This window comes from Homo sapiens, chromosome X (assembly GCF_000001405.40).
Source record: "Homo sapiens chromosome X, GRCh38.p14 Primary Assembly".
NCBI classification, from domain to species: domain Eukaryota; kingdom Metazoa; phylum Chordata; class Mammalia; order Primates; family Hominidae; genus Homo; species Homo sapiens.
The window spans coordinates 111,764,719-111,784,015 of NC_000023.11; the positions used below are offsets into that span (position 1 = coordinate 111,764,719).

The window sequence follows — 19,297 nt, forward strand, 5'->3', positions numbered from 1 at the left end:
CCTCAGATGATCCGCCCGCCTTGGCCTCCCAAAGTGCTGGGATTATAGGCATGAGCCACCGCGCCTGGCCGATCACCACCACTTTTGAGTTTACTTTTTTTCTTATGGCCGCTGGTGAGGGGGGATCTTGGAAACAAGAAAATCTGACTATTGTTTAGTATTTTTCCTGGTAGGTGTCTCTTGCCACTGAGTAGACCTTTTGTAAAGGGGATGGGGTCTTTACAAACAATATTGAGGTTAAACTGAATCAGTTCTTATGAATTCAGACCAGTCAGTGAATAAAAACGTTAAAATCTGTTCTAGCCAAACATTATTGGTTCATAGTATTGATTTATTAGTGTTATATGGATGGTCAGTCCCCTCACATAATTAGCAAATCTTTCTTGCAGAACTTTTGGCTCTTTCCAGACTATATAATTCAGGTTTTTCCAAATTGTTTGCAGAATTGTTGAAAAAATTCTACCCTAATACTAGACTTAAAATAATGTTTTATTTCCTTGCTCTGGTATGTTGGCTGCCTCAAAGTGAAAATTTTTACCTTCATAAAAAGCTATTTTATATTCAGTTGTTTTGTTTGTTTTAGCAGTTGAAGTTTGTTTTGATTTTCTTTGATTCCTTTTAGCTCTGCTAAAATAGCTTCAACTACCCAAGAAGTTTTTCCTTTCCTGGTTGTTTTGAAACATGGCATAGGATTTTGTTAATTTAGTTCTTTTTCTTTACTCACTGCTTATTTTTTTTCCAACATTTTCTTATAAAAATCTTTTAAACACAGAGCAGTTGAAGGAATTGTTCAGTTAACGTGTATATTTACTACCTAAGTTCTATACTTAACATTTTCCTATACTTGCTTTTTCACATATCCATCTATAAGTCCTCATTTTTGATGCATTTCAAAGAAAATTGCAAACTTAAGTACAGATTACCTGTAAACATTTCATGCATATTGTTAACCAGAGTTCAATAGTTGTTAAAGATTTTTTTTCTTTTGAGGTGAAGTTTACATGCAGTGAAATGCACAAATCTTAAGTGTTGGATGCAGTGAGGTTTGACAAATCACATACTTGTGAAACCCAAGCCCTGATCAAGATAACATTATCATCCCCAGGAAGTCTCTTCATGCTTCTTCCCAGTCAAATCTTTCTATCCCATTCCCCTGGGTAACCACTCTTGGTTCTGAGTTTTCCCCAATAGATTAGTTTTCTGTTTTTCTAACTACATAAATGAAAGTATATGCTCTCTTGTGTAAGGCTTCTTTCAGCATAAGGTATTTGGGATTTATCTATGTTGTATGTATCAAAAATTTATTGCTGAATATTATTTCATTGTATGAATATGCCATAGTTTATCCTTTTGATGGACACCTGGGCCGTTTCCAGTTTTTTTTACATATTATAAATAAAGCTTCTATGGATATTTTTCTGTAAATCTTTTTATGAGCACGTTATCATTTATCTTGGAATAGAATTATTGGGTCATAGGTGAGATGCATGTTTAGTTTTTTTTATAAGAAACCGCAGGACATTTTTCTCAAGTGGTTGTACCATTTTAAACTCCCATCAGCAATGTATGACAGTTCCAGTTTCTCATTACCATCAGCATATGATGGTGTCAGTGGTTTTTATTTTAGTCATTTTGGTGGATGTGTAGTAAGTGGTATCTCATTGTAGTAAGTGGTATCTAATTTGCATTTCCCTGATTGTTTTTCATATCAAGCATTTTTATGTGCTTGTTCATTTGTATACCTTTGTGAAGTGTGTTCAAATAATTTGTGTTATTGCATTATAGGAGTTCTTTGTATATGCTGGTTGCAAATCTTTGTCAGATATACTTCTGTTTTTTTTTTTATTATTATACTTTAAGTTCTAGGGTACATGTGCACAACATGCAGGCTTATTACATACGTATACGTGTGCCATGTTGGTGTGCTGCACCCATTAACTCGTCATTTACATTAGGTATATCTCCTAATGCTATCCCTCCCCCCACCCCCACCCCATGACAGGCCCCAGTGTGTGATGTTCCCCTTCCTGTGTCCATGTGTTCTCATTGTTCAATTCCCACCTATGAGTGAGAACATGCGGTATTTGGTTTTTTGTCCTTGTGATAGTTTGCTGAGAATGATGGTTTCCAGCTTCATCCGTGTCCCTACAAAGGACATGAACTCATCATTTTTTATGGCTGCATAGTATTCCATGGTGTATATGTGCCACATTTTCTTAATCCAGTCTATCATTGATGGACATTTGGGTTGGTTCCAAGTCTTTGCTATTGTGAATAGTGCCACAATAAACATACGTGTGCATGTGTCTTTATAGCAGCATGATTTATAATCCTTTGGGTATATACCCAGTAATGGGATGGCTGGGTCAAATGGTATTTCTAGTTCTAGATCCTTGAGGAATCGCCACACTGTCTTCCACAATGGTTAAACTAGTTTACAGTCCCACCAACAGTGTAAAAGTGCTCCTATTTCTCCAGCACCTGTTGTTTCCTGACTTTTTAATGATTGCCATTCTAACTGGTGTGAGATGTTATCTCATTTGTGACTTCTGCTTATTTTAATTATGCTTATCTAACCAGTGTGTAAATGTTGTACACTCATTTATGCTTAAAATAATTAGGCCAGGACTTACAGGTGAGTTATTTAGCTGAAAGTTAAGCTTTTCTGATATGCTAACCAGTGCCCTGCTGGTGTAAAAGTTAATCAGTAAAATAAGACAATCAAACTTCAGGAATCTGAATTAGTAGAAAGCTAGTTGCTGAAAAGTCTGTTACTACAAAAAAAGCTGAAGGAGAAACGTCAACTGATTCTGGAATTATTGCTCAGATGTCCTCAGATGACACTGGTTTAATCATGACCAGCTTAACCTCCATTTATATGTCTTCTCACTGTCTCACAGATTCCAACTGTTCTATGCAATATGTATCATACTTTTAAGTACTCAATGAAGAATAATTAATTTCCAGGATTGGGCCTCTAAGGTTTTTCAATGTTGTAAGCTATAGCTTTAAAACTGTATTGGTCTCTTTACTTCATCTCATAGTTCTTATAAATTATTATTAAATTCTTAAATACTAGTCAGCTTTGTTTAATGGAAGATATAAAAATCAGAATATTTATTCTCATATACTTTTCAAAATATATTGGACTGTGGAGGTCTCCCATTAGTGTTTCTGCTAGGCAAATTACATTGTGAAGTCTTTTGTTCATAAATGTTAATAATAGGTGGCTACGAATGATTACACTGAAAAAGGGAGGAACATAACACCTTAAAATCTGAGTTGTCACACATTTCAGGGGAAAAAAGTAAATACTTTATTTTGTTGATACTGAAGCTAAAAATACACAAAATTATTTTATTGTACAAGATTCTTTTTAATACATTAAGATTGACACTGTGCACTTACAGAAAGTGTTTAAATAAAAGTGATAGTTATTCAAAGAGATTTCCACTTTGAAAATAGTCTTCAAAGCCAGTGTCATTTACACAGACACATTTGGAATTTTCCCTTTTCATGATTATGCTCAAGATGTATCATTTTAAACTGAAATTTGACACACTTTCTATATGGTGATATGTGGTTGGGGCTGCCAACTAGGCTTAGAAGGTGAATTACACATAGCTCGTATTCTCTAGTATTCTCCTTCCTGCTACCAAATGTTAGTTTGTAGCTGCAGACTGCATTCATTGTTTTGAGTAGAAAGAAACTCCCATCCCTAATTTCAACCCCATTTTTGAGAAATATGGAATAAATAGAATCCTGTGAAGAGTTTAACTATTGTTCTGTTGAATAGTACCTCTGGTGTGCATTCCTATTATAAGAAACAAACTAAAATGTATTTGCTTGAGAAGGATGTGTTTATCCTTATCTGAAGTGTCCTGGGGAAGGTCTGTGTCTTTACTGTTGAGATAAGATACAGCTTTACTTTTACTTTGTTAAGGTAGTAATTTGAACACTTAATTTTAAAGTTAATTTATCGAATTGAATTTCCTTTTACATTAAACCACAGACTAATGTGTTAACCCTTTGGGTTTAGAGGACTCTTCATGTGCTCACATAATATTCATTTTGGTGTCATTGGTCCCACTTATCCTGTTAAGACACTTGAGAATTCTGGCTGCTTCTCCTGCCCACGTACACTAAGCACAGTTATCACTGATTTATTGGACTACAGGTTACTTTGCCTTGGATATTTAAACTGATTGCTTAATATGTTTTACAAGGAGGTCCTACAAGGTGTGGCCACAACATGATGAGGCTATACTTTAAATACCATGACTAGATCTTATACAGGAAATACTTAATCTGAATATGTGACTTTCAAATGACCTGAACACATTCAGCTAGCTAGCTGCCATCTTCCTATTAGAGTTTCTTTCCATTGCTTCTGCCACCGTGGGTTCTTATGAGTCCAAAATCCTCCCCTCTGTTCTCTATGGAGGTTAGTGGTTTTTCTTTACTGTCCCTCTCCCTGATAACAGCCTAGTCACCAGAGCCTCTGTGCTATACAATGTCATTTCTTAAGGATCAAATAAGTTTGAGGAGTCAATTCTGAGTTTATTTACAGCATAAGCCATTGGAACTCAATGTATTTTACTGTTTAAACACAAAGGGTTAATCATTATGGTTGTTCCCAAATCAGTGAAGCTTCTCTATCTAAATATATTGCTCTTTAAAGTGTTCTCTTCAGGAGGCTATGTGCTTATTCATGTAAGGCTACCACTGCTCCAAGCATAATTGAAACTAGATTCCAGGATACAAAGGAGAACAAGCATTCTTGAGGGGGTGATGGAGATATTCTATAACTTGATTTTGGCTGGTGCTTCCAGGGGTATATACAACTCTGAAAACTCACCAATTTGTACACTTTAAATGAATGCAGGTAATTGTACATAAATCATTCCTCAATAAAGTTAATTAGGGGAAAAAAACTAGATTCCCAAGAACAGTTCCAGGTCCCTTACAAATCCCACAAGAGACAATCTCATTATTTTATAATTGCACCTATCAAAGTGCCTATTGTGTAGTAGCACTTGAAAATGTTTTTTGTTTGTTCGTTTGTTTGTTTTTAACCAGAGAAAGTGGTACTCATCTTGACTACCACATGTTTTACCAAGTGTGGATCTAAAATTACTTTTGGCAATTTCTAAATTCCTAAAAATTTAATCTTATAGGATCATGATTTTCTACCATTGAGGATATTCAGAGATTGTACTGTGGACTTTGAAAGTCATTTCAAAAGCAGAAGTCCAAAGTGGGTAGAGTAATGGCAGCATCATTAGAATATGGGTATGGCTTTTTAAGGTGACTACTTTAAAGGACCACGTTCATTTGGGTGCATAAGTTCTGGTATGTTTATGAAAATATCAGTCATTATCCTATTTTATGTTTATTCCAAATTTATGAGGCTAAAAGATGACAGCAGATACATAATCTGGCTTTTTGCCATAGTGCCCTTCCTTACCTTTCATTTCTCTTTCATGTTGTTTTGACAAACCCACTTTATTTCTTAGATAAAATTTGAAGGAAGTGATCTTTCCAATTGGCTAAAGTGTACATATTTATGAAAGCCCATCTGTGATATTGCATTATGGGTGTGGTGTGTTGAACTTATATTTACAGTGATCCCAAGGTTGAGAACTTGTTAACATCTGAAATTTAACCCAAATATGACCCAAAATTTGAAAAATGATTTACCGGTAGTTCTGCTTTCATATATTGTTGCATTTTTTGAATTTCATTAAAGGAGAAATGATGATGCTAATGTTTTAATTAACCATTTTAAATTATATTTTTAATTCAGGTTATTCATCTCAATTTGGCCATCCAAAAAACTGACAATTTGGTGGTTTAGCCCCGTGTTTTAAAGTGTATATCCTCACTCATCCTTACTTCAAAAGCTTTTCCAACTGTCTCTTTACTACACTATCACCATCTAAGTTTCCCAATCCCAGCAAAAATCCAAAGCCTCCTTTCTTCCTTCCAAGGGTCAGCTTTAAGAGTTGTGTAAGAGCGGAGAACTGTCAAGAGGGTTCCTAGGTTGGAAGGCAATTGGTGGCAATGAGTATTTTGGGGATATATTGAACTTCTGGGAAAAGATACAAAATGGCCAATCCCAGCTTAATTGTACTTTCAAATGGCTGGCTACCTTAGGCTTAAATAAAAGGCACACTGCCACATATTCATTCAAGTGCCACTAAGGACAGTGCCTTTTGTGTGTATGTATGTAAGCTCCTGGGATGTTAGGTTGCCCCAAAACCTGCTAAAGTCAAAGGGCAAATATGCTGAAAAATGGTGAAAATGACCTTCACGTTGCAAGTCATTCTAACCTACTTCAGTTAGTCTTTTTTGGTTCTATCAAGTCACTGGAGTTATAAAGAAAGTTCTTTGAGGGGGAGGAGGGTAGGACAGATACATGCTACTTTCAGGGATGTATGACAGTTGATTTCAATGATCAAAAGTTGTGGGCTGTTTATGTTCCTACAGAAATTGTTTGTCATTTATTTGTGTAGTAACAGGAAGCCTCTAGAGCTTTCACATCTTTTCACATCATATAAGAAAACTAGCTTTTTGGCATAAGGGCATTCCACTTAGTTTTATGTTTAAATATTATAATTCTTAATATGTATATGTCTCTCAGGTACCACAAACATTGATGGTATATCTTTAGAAAAAGAATGAACACAACTCAGATCCAGTAATCAAGTACAAGATACAAATCCACTCAAGTTGGGGATAACACAAATACTGAGCCTAAAGATGCTAGAGCACACTGGCTTGCTGCCTCTATCATTCCAGCAGTTAACTCTGTTTCTTAAACATTACATTTTCTAAAAGTAAAGCTCTCACAAAGCACCCACTAACACCTCCTCTGGATCACCACACAAAAGATGAAAATCCTAGGCCACGTACCAGCATATGAATGAATATTAACACCTCAAGTATGCACCAAATCTCAGGTATACAGTAAATCTGAAGTATGCAGACTGACTTTATTTTGCCAAAAATGTGTATATTTAAGTCTTCCAGGTAAGTTATTCTGACCTAAATGCTTTTTTTTTTTTTAAACAAAACCAGGAACCTCAAATCTTGATAGCTCTCAATATAAAAGTGCTACAGAAGATGCTGTCATGGCAGTTCATTTTGGCAATTCCTCACAGCTCAGGAAATGTCTCATTGAAAAGTTATTCTTGCTTCCCTCTCTTCAAAATGATCTAGTAATTACCTAAAGGGATAAAGGGCCAAGGGCAGAACCATCAAATGCTGTTAAGTTTTGTTATGTGTGTCTATGTATATACACAGACACGTTCTCACTTTTACAGACATCCCTCAAAAGGCAAAGCAAGCCAAAACCCACATCTGTTGGAAAAAAAGTTACTGGAAGGTTCATTGGAAATATAATGGTAACAATGTTTCTCTCTGCTGAAGTAAAGCTCACATTCATTTGGGGTACTCAGATCCCACTGCCGAGTCCTACACCAACAAGGTGGATATTTGGAGCAATTATCTAGATAAAGTAAGCCAAAGAAACAATCTAAAATATCCTTAGTTTTGAGGCAAAGCTGCAGGGATTGAAGGTAGGGCTGTGAAGTAGGTATGAAGAGGTTATTTAAATGATCTGAACACTTGGATCAATTTGCATTGACTATGTCTATATGAGCAATCTTTTGAAAACTTGATTACCAAGAAAATATACTCAATTTTTCTTAGGTACCTTTATTTATTTATTTTTGAGACAGTCTCGCTCTGCCGCCCAGGCTTGAGTGCAGTGGTGTGATCTCAGTGCACTGCAACCTCTGCCTCCCAGGTTCAAGTGATTCTCATGCCTCAGCCTCTCAAGTAGTTGGACTACAGGCGTGTACCACCATGCCCAGCTAATTTTTGTATTTTTAGTAGAGATGGGTTTCACCATGTTGGCCAGGCTGATCTCAAACTCCTGGACTCAAGTGAACCACCCATTTTGGCCTCCCAAAGTGCTGGGATTACAGGAGTGGGCCACCATGCCCAGCCTCAATTTTTCTAAGGTACTTTTAAACAAAGGATTTGCTGCCTATCTTCAAGTACTTTTTACCTGATGATTTAACAAACCAAGGTCTGGGGCACTAAAACTATTAGTCAAAACACCACACGAGATTCACCCATGATGTAACATGAATGCCAATGGTCATTTGTATTTTCAGGCTAAGGTTTGGCCTCATATTTATCTCTAAAGTTCCCACTGAGGTTTTCAGATGAGGTTTGCACTGCCATAAGAACTATAAAGTTCTTTTTGGAAAAGGTATTAAGTCATTTGAAAAGTGGAGGCGTTCGTTTTTTAAAAATGATTTAATCAAATTGCAGACAGGTATTTACGACTTAGCTGAAATAGCCTAAGTTAGGTCACAGTGGAATGAAAAATGATGGAGGCAGAACAGGGAATTTTTTAATATCTCCATGTCAGTAGACAGAAGCGTAACTTGAAGCATTTATATCTCTGTAAAGTTTGGCATTTTCCGAAAATGATTTTAAATTTAGTCTTTCCTCTGTATTTCACTGGACATAAAGCTGGAAGTGGAGATATTTCAACAATGGTCACTTTCTAATATAATTCAAATATTTTCTTTGTAATTTTTACCTTTATTATTAGGGAGATTTTATGAGATCAAATAAATGAATCCAAGGTGTCCGGAAGTGATAAGCCAACTGTAATGTAGGTGGAACATGATATGGATATTTTAGATAAGTAGTAAATGATTTTTGTATTATTTGTGTTTGACTTTGCAGTACATTTTTAACTTCACATTTAAATATGTAAGTCTGAAGTTTTGGAGTTCACAGCATTTTTGGCAAATGAACAAAAGGGTGTCTGTAGTGGCCACTTCACATCTATATATAACATATATGCTTACTAATAAATGTCTTCTATAATCTAGAAGACTTGAGTTTATTGACCAGCTCTGTGACCTTGAGCAAGTCATTGTCCTTCTCTGGGCCTCTTTATTTTCTATTTGTAAAATATGAGGTTGGAATAGAGTAGATCCTTTATAAAGTTCTCTTTTAGTTCTTTTTATGTTTATAAATTTACTCTCAAGTTGGCTTATAACTCCTCTGGGGTCAGAGGATATACCTAAGCATTTTCACTTGAAATACCTTTTATGATACTTGATCAAGAGAGTAAGGAAGTGAACAAAATCTTTTTCCTTTCCTACTTTGTACTGAATTAGAGTTAATAAAAATGTTGGTGTCACCAACATGGAAGTTAGGGCAATAGCTGTTCAGCTTTAACCCCCATCCTAAATGAGGCTTCACTATAGCTAGTAAAGTCTTAAGCCCAAGTCACAACGATAACCCTGAGAAGATCTGAAAAGGAATGTACTCCCGTGACATATGACACTGGTTCTTTCAATAGTAGAGATTGATTTACACATATTATCTCTTTAGAACGTAAGTGACAGAAGACTTTTGGAATACAGTTCCATGTCTGGCTAGCCTGTTTTCTGACAAGTTGATAAGGTCACTGCTAGAAAACTTATAAGTTTTCAGAAGTGATATACATTTCTGAGAAAAACATGTTTTTCTTTTTATAAAATGGGGTTATATGCTATTTCTTTTGGTGCTGTTAATATGAGTTAGGAATGTAGCCCAGGTTCTATTATTATTCAAAGTGAATTTGACAATTTGAAAAGCTGAATCTGTAACTTTAGAAACCTTTCTGGAAAGTAACCTGTGATTAAATGTCAAGGCCATTTTATGACAGTCTTAGCGAAGCAGGGGAGAAATTGATTTGAGTAAATAACCACTTCAGATATGATCAAGGAATTATTTTCGGACAACCTCTTGCCAAATGGGTCTTGATGCAGCTTTTTCACTTGATCACTTTTTCCTGGATATGAGGCTTTATTCTTCAAAACCTCCTCCTATTTCTGGCCCCTCCCCCTCCATTTTGCTCTTCTCCAGGCTAGAGACAAAGATGGGAATCCATTCAAATAACAGAAACCACACTTATCAAAAGCTAGTTTGGAGGCATATTTGCAGTTCGAAAGTTCCTCATTTCTCTTACTTTTATCAGAAATTACATACATTAATCTAAATGGATTCCTATTGGTGTTGACATTAAAAAAAACAGCGTGACACCTATTTTACTTTTCTGGGCTACACACTATTTATGTAATCTCTAGGACTCAGACCTAGAGTTGTTTCAGGTCATATGTTAGAGTCTAAACTGAGGAAACCTTTGTGCTAATGTTGGTAAAAGCCGTCCTTGCTCAGCAGGTTCTCAGTGGTTATCAGGTCTAGAATGATGACCATATGCATTATGGACTTTATTTTTTAACTTGAACCACTGTATTCTGATGAGGTACTCTTAAGCTGTGGAAAAGAATTTGTTTGGATGTATAAATGTAGCTTTCTTGGAAGACAGTAGAATTTGGATCACGTTTATAATTCCATGAATCCACTAGGGTTGTTATGATATATATCTAACATAATTTACACATGCAATTCCACTGCCCCCAATGAATATTAAAACTGCAACCTGAATTAGGTTATCTATACCTAAAGTTGCCATTTTTATAAAGCAGTTAATTAAAATGAAGATGCTCTTTTCTCATATTTTGACACTTCAGCAATATGCCATTTTTCTGATAAAAATATTTCAAATTCAGGCTTTTATCTTAGAAATTATTTGATAGCAATGATAATTAAAACTATCAACAGTAGAATAGGACCCAACAAATATGACAACTATTTATCTTGCCAATGTATGAGATGTAGTGACTATTGGTTAGAGTGTAGTAGATGTTTTTAAAAAATAGCACAAATTCTAAATACTAATTTTGATACTATCAAATTTTCAAATGTAGTAAGTTAACTGAAACACACAAACAGAAAAATAATTCGCCTAACTTATTAGATATGACATATACTATGGGGTAAATATTTCATTGGCACACATTAGGAAACTAACACATCTTTAAGAAACAAGAAAACTCAATAGCCCCCACAATAAGAAGTTGTAGTATTTAAGAACGAAACAAGCCACTTATACCCAGAAACCACAAGCTGACAATTCTTTGAAATCTCTTCAGCCTCCCTTTGATGCTGTTCATTGACCCAGCATGGGCAGCGCGTAGCACTGAATGGCAACAAAGATGGGCAGGGTAGTTTGCCTTATCTGATAGCTGGTGGGGACTGCTGACCACATCCCTCAGCTCTGCGGGAAAATGGCATGAGATTCTGAGGATGGTCAGGAATCTGTGCGGCAACAAGACCAGCAAAGTGGCACCTGGGGCTTCAAGGAAGCATGGGTGAGAAAAGCAAAGCAAAAAGGTTAAGCACCCAACTGCACCTCTGATGATTAGGTGCAACACCCCTTCAGTCGGTTGTAAGATGGACTTAGTGTGTATAGGTATTAAAAAGGCAAATAATAATGAAAGTAATAATAAAACAAGAACAAAAATGGAGAATGTGGCTATAAAAGATGGTGCAAATAAGAGTTTCACTCTCCTTTCTGGGGGGCAGGGGCAGTGAGGGAATCATATTCTGTGTCACCTCTGAGAGCAAGGAAATTACAGATTTCTGTTGAGTTCCAGAACAGATGATTAGGGCTTGACTTAGAGGCGAGTTGTAACTTGTTCTTCCTGTCCATCACCCCATTTGTGCATGAGCAAGTCACAAGCCTCTCCCCAAGTTTCAAATACATCCTCTGAGGAGTCTAAAAGTTTAGAATTTGAGGAGCAGATGCTGGATGCACAGTGAAGAGAGCTGGAACAGGCTAGAGGGCATTCACTGCTCTGAGCAGCGCCCTGGACTTCACCTAATTCTACCTCACTGAGGTTAATTTCACTTTGAGAACAGGCCTCTGCTTTCCCTTTCTCCATCTGAGAATATCTGATGTCCTGCCACATACAGTGCTGCTGAACAATTCCATCAGAAATTGTGTACATTGGCTCTGAACTGGGTTCAGACATATGACCATTAAATTTGGAGAATAGGAGACCCAGTTTCTTGAGAGAAGGACCCATGAAGGAGCGTTTGCTTGATGACTCAGCTTTTGACTTTCCTTGGGCACCACTGGACCTTGGCATGGTTCTGATGAGAGGTGGCCCATGGCAAGTCTTTTTCTTGCAGCCTAAATTAAAAGAGACACTCTTGGATTTGGCCCGAGCCCCACCACTGCCATCATTATTATCGTCTCTCTGAGACAGTTCAGTGCTGCTAGTGGAAAAGCTCCTTGGATGTTTTCTATTTCCCAAGAGGTCAAGCACTTCATACCGAAAGCTGGAGATGTCTTGCTTTAATTCCTGGGAAAAGAGAGGAGACATATTATGTCAAGAAGCTTGGTCTTTATTTCAAAGTAGGCACATTAGATACCTTTGGTATGTTCCAGGTTTTTGCCTAGTAGCAAATCACAAAACACCAGAAAAATCTGCCATTATTCAAACACAAGAAAAACATATTAATAATTCCATGGGCAGGGCTGGGCTGGCCATTGGCAAAATTGTACAATGGGTAAAGTTGATTCAGGATTAGCTAACACTTTAGCAGGGATTAGTCTGTTGAGGTGCTTTCATAAGGACTAACTCCTGCTAAGTATTAACTAACAAGTTATTAGATTAGGACACTGGCTCTCAGGTGTCTGCATATAAAAGGACTACTGAAGAGGAAAAAGCTTTTAAGACTCTAACGAGTGAAACTAGAAAAGTTGAATGTCAGGTGATGAGACTGCTGTTTTGAGACAGGGGGCCCTGTTCAAACCTCTATGAAATGTCTTCTATCTCCAACTGGCTGCTTACATACTAGATTGTTCCTTTAAAAGCCAAGCTGAAATCTGTTCATGTACTTCCCCTTCTCAAAACTTGTTACTAACTTGTCACTGACTTTAGGAAAAAGTAGAAATGCCATACCATGGACTACAAGGTTTTTCAAGGCCTAGTACATGTTGCTTTCTCCAGTTTCATCTTTCTACTCTTTTCCTAGGCTCTCTGCTGTCCACCTGTATGGACATATTCTCCCTTGCCTCTGGGCCTTTGCCTATGCTGTTCTCTCTGTCTAGAACATTCTTCTCCCCAACTCGCCCTTATCTGGCTGGCTTTGCTTTCAAGCCTCAGCTTAAGCATCACTTCCATTGGAAAGTCTGTCTTGACTCCCCAAGTCCCAGATGAGCGTCCCTCCTCTCTGTGTTTCCACAGTGTCCTGTGTTTAACCTGTCAGAATATAAAATTGTTCATCACCCTTTATTATTGTTTGTCACTCCTTGAGAGTAGGAGCTGGTTAGATCTTGCTCACCACTGTACCAGAGCACTTAGCAGAGTGCTTGGAACATAGCAGACCCTCAGTAGATGAATTATGTCTATGAATTAGGATAATGGACTTTCTGTGTGCCTTAGAAAATATAGATGTGTTCATGGACACTGGGAGGGGAACATCACACACAGGGGCCTGTCAGGTGGTGGGGGTTAGGGGAGGGATAGCATTAGGAGAAATACCTAATGTAGATGATGGGTTGATGGGTGCAGCAAACCACCACGGCACATGTATACCTATGTAACAAACTTGCATGTTCTGCACATGTATCCCAGAACTTAAAGTATAATAAAAAAATTAAAAAATATATATATAGATGTGTTCTAGGATAGGATTTCTCAATCTTGGCACTATTGACATGTTGGACTGGATAATTCTTGTTGTGGGAGACTGTACTATTCATTGTAGGATGCTTAGTAGCAACCTTGTCTTTACTGTCTAGATACCAGTGTGACAACCAAAAATATCTCCAGACATTGCCAAATGTGGTCTTGGGGACAAAATTGCCCCTGGTTGAAAACGGTTGTTTTAGGCTAATGCCACTAGTATAATTTTAATGTTTAATGGTAGAGTTTCTTAAGACCTTAGATTTAATAACAGATTTTTTGATCTTATATCTTTTAAGTAAAGAAGATAATTAAGTCTGCAGGCATCTTCCCTTTGTTATCTTGTCCCTCACCACCATGCATCCTTGCCACATCATTTAAAGCATTCAATTTCCACACTGAGAAACACTCAGAATATTAAAAGAATGCATACAGCAGATTTCCTTCATTCCTGACACTGATTGTGGTGTGACATACATTGGTAAAATCTCTCCGTCTACTGGATGAGAGACAATTCTAAGAGAATAAGCATTATAACTGGCTTTGCTATATTGTAAGCAGATGAAATTCCATCACCAGAAACCTCACACACTGTGAAGATTAAATGATGCTTATGATATGTAAAATGAAAAACCACTTCATGATTAAATTACCTTAAAATTTTCTTCTGTAAGTCCCTCATGTGTTTTGGAATTTCTTATCATAGCAGCCACATATCTTTTGACTAAATTCCTGATAACTTCCTGGAATTACAAAACATGAAGAAGCATTCAGTCTCCTTCTCAGGCTCTCAGTACAGTAAGAAACTTACATAGGAAATAAAACATGCTTAGACCTTCTTTGCAGTAGAAAATCCTCATAGGATCCAGCCTTTTATTGTAAAAATGAGTTAAGTCCATTGGCTAAACAACTATTGTGTCTCTGAATTTAGTGGCAGAATCAAATTAACCCTAAAGGAAAATTTTTTACCCAAGCATAAGGTAAACATGTATTTCCAGTGGAATAATTCTTGCATGGTCATATAGTTAATATCCTTTTCCTTTAGGATGGATTACACGTTAACACTCATAGTAAAACGAGAGTTTTATTCTCCTTTTATAAAATTGAGAGTTTTCTTCAGAGTCACTAAGTCTGCTGATTTTAATGTCTACTAATTACATAGTGAAGATATTTTTCTCATAGTCAACCTACACTTCTCCTTTATAGGAATGTCCTCTTTTCACTAAGCCCCCAGGGGAATGGTCTACACATGGTCACTACAGTTTGTATTAGTGATGGTGATGATGATAGCTACCACTTACTGCAATGTGTCAGGCAACACATGCACATAATACATATGATACATACTTATCACTCAATTTTCACAACTCTGTAAGTTAAGTTTTATTACTCTTCCCATGTTACAGATGAGGAAGTCAAGGCTCAATGAGGCTGACTCATCCAATGTTACACAACTAGTAAGTGTCAGCATTAGACTTTGATTCTACTTCAGTCTGATTTCAAGGCCAATGGTATTGCTTCTGCTACTATGTGTACTTGAGGAACTCACTGAGACATGCAGGAATCATTTTTTTTTGTTATTGTTGAGGGCTATGAAGCAGAAAATGAAGACAATGAATCTTATTTAAGATTTATTATTATAAAAGTAATAACATTTGAAGGCGGGAGTAGGGAGAGGAGGTTTACATACAAAATACCATATTTTCTGCTTCTCTTTGTTAGTTATGGTCTAAGGGGAACAAAGTTAGGAGAAGTGACCTATAGAATAAGGATGCATTTCCTTCAAACGCTGTAGAACATTTTTCTACTTTGGTTTTCTTTTGATCAGGATGGTGAGAGATGGTTGTCTCTTATTTGTGATTTGCAAGGATTATTCTCAAGAGGTGTTGGTGATATTTGTATGCTTGGCTGTTTTCTAGCTGGTGGGAAGAGTGTCCTAATGTTTATTAGGTTTATTACTTTTTTTTTTTTAACAAAATACAGAAGTGCTTCTCTATTTCTTTGATTAAAGTCATGTTGTAATTTATCAAGATCTAAATTCCTGACATTCAGATAAGCTTTTACTTCATTGAGGTTAGTTTCCTCCTGTTATATATATTACCATTACCCTGTGTATTTTTTCTTCATGGCAGTTTTTATCCTTGTAATCACTTAATTTTAATACAATCATCCCTTGGTATACTCTGGGGATTGGTCCCAGGACCCCCCGCCCCATGTACCAAAATCCATGCATACTCAAGTCCTGCAGTCACCCTGCAGAACCTGCAGATACAAAAAGTCAGCCCTCTTGTATATGTGGTTTTACATTCCATGAATACTATATTTTCTATTTGCGTTTGGTTGAAAAAATCTGCCTATAAGTCGATCTACACAGTTCAATCCTCTGTTGTTCAAGAGTCAACTGTAATTTTAATGACGTGTTATTTTATCCCTGCTAGATAATATATTTCATAAGGGCAGAAAGATTGCATCTTTTTTGTTCATAGTGATTTTTCTAGTATCTAGTGTAGTATTTTATGTACAGTAGGTACTCTCATATTTGACTGACTGACCAACCATATATTCTATTTTATGTAACTTCAAGGAAGACAGCTTTCTAAGTCATAGTTGTTGCTGATCAAGCCGAGGCAGTGCATAAGGGCCATGAACAGGATTATAAAGCAGGTGATTCCACTTGGAGAAGGTACTTCAGCCCTTGATAAATTACAGCCTTTCCAAGCCTCCTATCCCAGTCAAATGGGATCGTGTCCAGACACAGCCAGAGTGAAGTTTGCTTCTCCTCCACAGAACCAGCCAACAACTATTGTGCTTCATCCCTGTGAGGAAGCTTTACCTGATAATGTTGATTTTGTATCAGGCTGTCAGCATTGCGTTCCTATAATTGAAAATAGACAGAGATGTTACATCAGCAGTCTCCCAGCACCCTACCCACCCAAACATCTGAATATAATTATTTCTATATATTAGGACTAGAGAATGCTACAGGAGCTCCTGCCTGACAAATCCCCAAAGCAAATGTATGTTGGAATGATTTTATGATGTTTAAAACAGTGAGTTGGTCACAAAGGAGGGACGGGAGGAAACAGTTTTGTTTAAAAAGATTCATAATATTGGCCAGGTGCGGTGGCTCATGCCTGCAATCCCAGCACTTTGGGAGGCCAAGGCAGGAGGATCACGAGGTCAGGAGTTCAAGACCAGCCTGGCCAACATAGTGAAACCCTGTCTCTACTAAAAATACAAAAATGTGCCCAGCATGGTGGTGCTCGTCTGTAATCCCAGCTACTTGGGAGGCTGAGGCAGGAGAATCACTTGAACCTGGGAGGCAGAGGTGGCAGTGAGCTGACATGGTGCCACTGCACTCCAGCCTGGATGACAGAGCGAGACGCCATCTCAAAAAGTAATAAATACAAAAAATTAGCCAGGTGTGGTGGCAGACGCCTGTAATCCCAGCTACTGGGGAGGCTGAGGCATGAGAATTGCTTGAACCCAGGCAGCAGAGGTTGGCAGTGACCCGAGACCGTGCCACTGCACTCCAGCCTGGGTGACAGAGTGAGACTCCATCTCAATTTTTAAAAATTAAGTTTTCAAAATTAAAAGTCTTACTGTGAAACTTCTCAAGTTGCGCCTTCTCCGTCTACCGTCAGGGTCTCTTTTGGGGCAGAAGGTGTTGTTGAACCAGTTACCAAGGTATAGAAATGACTTGGGGCTGGGGATGATGTTGAAAGGAGGTGGCAAGGTGCCACCTTCATCAAAGTAACTCATCCAGAGCTTCGTCCTTGCAAACTTCCACTCGATATCAGCATGATCCTATGAAAGATAATGAAGTTCAAGGATTTGGGATGGGAAACTGCACGATGTACTCACTTCTTATTCTAAACTTTCTAGTTGCTTCTATAGAGGGCAATATGTCAAGAGCTATATAAATTCAAATTATACATACCCTGTCACCCAGTAACCCTACTCTTAGAAATATATCTTATCAATATACTTACAAAAACATGTATGTACATGGCTGTTCACTGTAGCACAGATAATAGTAGCAAAACGACTGGCAGCAACCTAAATATTCAACAGTAGAACTGGTTAAATAAATGGTGTTACATCTACAAAATGGTATAAAATATAACTACTAATATATGGTAGATCCATAAACATTATAGATATGTATATATATGCATCTGTCCAAGCCCTCTAAGTGAATAAAGCAATATAGAGCACAACATATATTATGTACAGTGATCCCATTTATACAACTGGAAAATCTTTTATATTACATGCTTACATGTTCTAGACAAGTACACACTAAACTGTCAATAGTAGTTATTTTTAAGGTGTCGGATTGTGGTGGAAGGCTTTTTTATTTTAAAAAATTCAACTTTATTGAGGCACAATTTACACAGAATAAAATTCAACCATTTAAAGTGTTTGATGAGTTTTGACAGGTATATATACCCATGTAACAATCATTATAATCAACACACACACACACACACACACACACACACACACATCAGTGTACATTTCTAGGAGTTTTAAGAGCTGCATTGACTGATGTAACTGTTACTACAATCAGGATACACAACAGTTCTATCACCCTCCAAAGTTCCCTATTGTTACCTCTTTGTAGTCAAACTCTCCCAACCTCTAACCTCTGACAACTGCTCCTCTGTTTTCTGTCCCTATAGTTTACCTTTTCCAAAATGTCATATAAATGGAATCATACAGTAGGTAACCTTTTAAGATTGGCTCATTTTACTCAGCATAACACCTTTGAGATTCATCTGTGTTTTCGTATGTATCAATAGCCCATTCAATCACATTGCTGAGTAGTTTTCTATTATATGGATGCACGATGGTTTCTTTGTTTACCCACTGAAGAACATTTGGGTTATTTCCAGTTTTTAGCAATTATGAGTAAAGCTGCTATGACCATTCATGTACAGGTTTTTGTCTAAATATACGTTTAATTTTTCTAACTTACATATCTAAGAGTGGTATTGCTGGATTGTGTGTTAAGGGTGTGTTTATAATAAAATGCCAAACTGTTTCCAGAGTGGCTATACTGTTTTCCATTTTCACTAATTGCTCTATATCTTCTTTAGTGCTTGTCAGGTTTTTAAAGTTTAGTCATTCTAACAGGTATGTAGTGGGATCTCATTATGGTTATAATTTGCGTTTCCCAAATGGCTAATGATGTTGAGCATCTTTTCACATGCTTATTTACCATCTATATATCTTCTGTGATGAAGTGTTTTTCAGATCCTTTGCCCATTTTTATTATATATATGTAATATAATATAGAATATACATATATATTCTAGATACAATCCCTTTGTTAGATATATGGCTTGCAAATATTTTCTTCCAGTCTGTATCTTGTCTTTTCATTCTCTTAATGATGTCTTTACTGGAGCAAACTTTTACTTTTGAGAAAGTCAAAATTATCATGTTTATAAAACTATCCATTTTTTCATAGATTGTGCTTTTTCTGTCATGTCCAGGAACTCTTCAGCTAGCCCAAGGTCATGAAGATGTTCTCCTATGTTTTCCTCCACAACTTTTATAGTTGTAAGATATGCCTTTAGTTCTATGATCCATTTTGAGTTAATTTTTCTATAAGGGAAGAGGTTTATGTTGAGGTTCTTTTTGAAAATATGAGTGAACAATTGCTCTGACCCAATTTG

General features: G+C 36.9%; 1 protein-coding gene across 3 annotated transcripts in view; it reads right to left on the bottom strand.

Moving 5' to 3' along the window:
• Positions 1-3,292: 3,292 nt before the first annotated feature.
• The window catches only part of TRPC5 (transient receptor potential cation channel subfamily C member 5), a 314,766-nt gene continuing 298,761 nt past the window's right edge, over positions 3,293-19,297 (bottom strand). For 2 of the 3 annotated variants that reach the window (NM_012471.3, XM_017029774.2), the window contains 4 exons: positions 17,217-17,420; positions 16,447-16,488; positions 14,267-14,356; positions 3,293-12,284 (listed from right to left, as the gene is read on the bottom strand). In NM_012471.3, the coding sequence (NP_036603.1) occupies positions 11,595-12,284; positions 14,267-14,356; positions 16,447-16,488; positions 17,217-17,420 (1,026 nt within the window). In that variant the 3' untranslated portion in view covers positions 3,293-11,594. Of the gene's footprint in view, positions 12,285-13,936; positions 14,357-16,446; positions 16,489-17,216; positions 17,421-19,297 lie in introns of those variants that run through there. The other variant, XM_047442413.1, reaches the window with a different exon arrangement.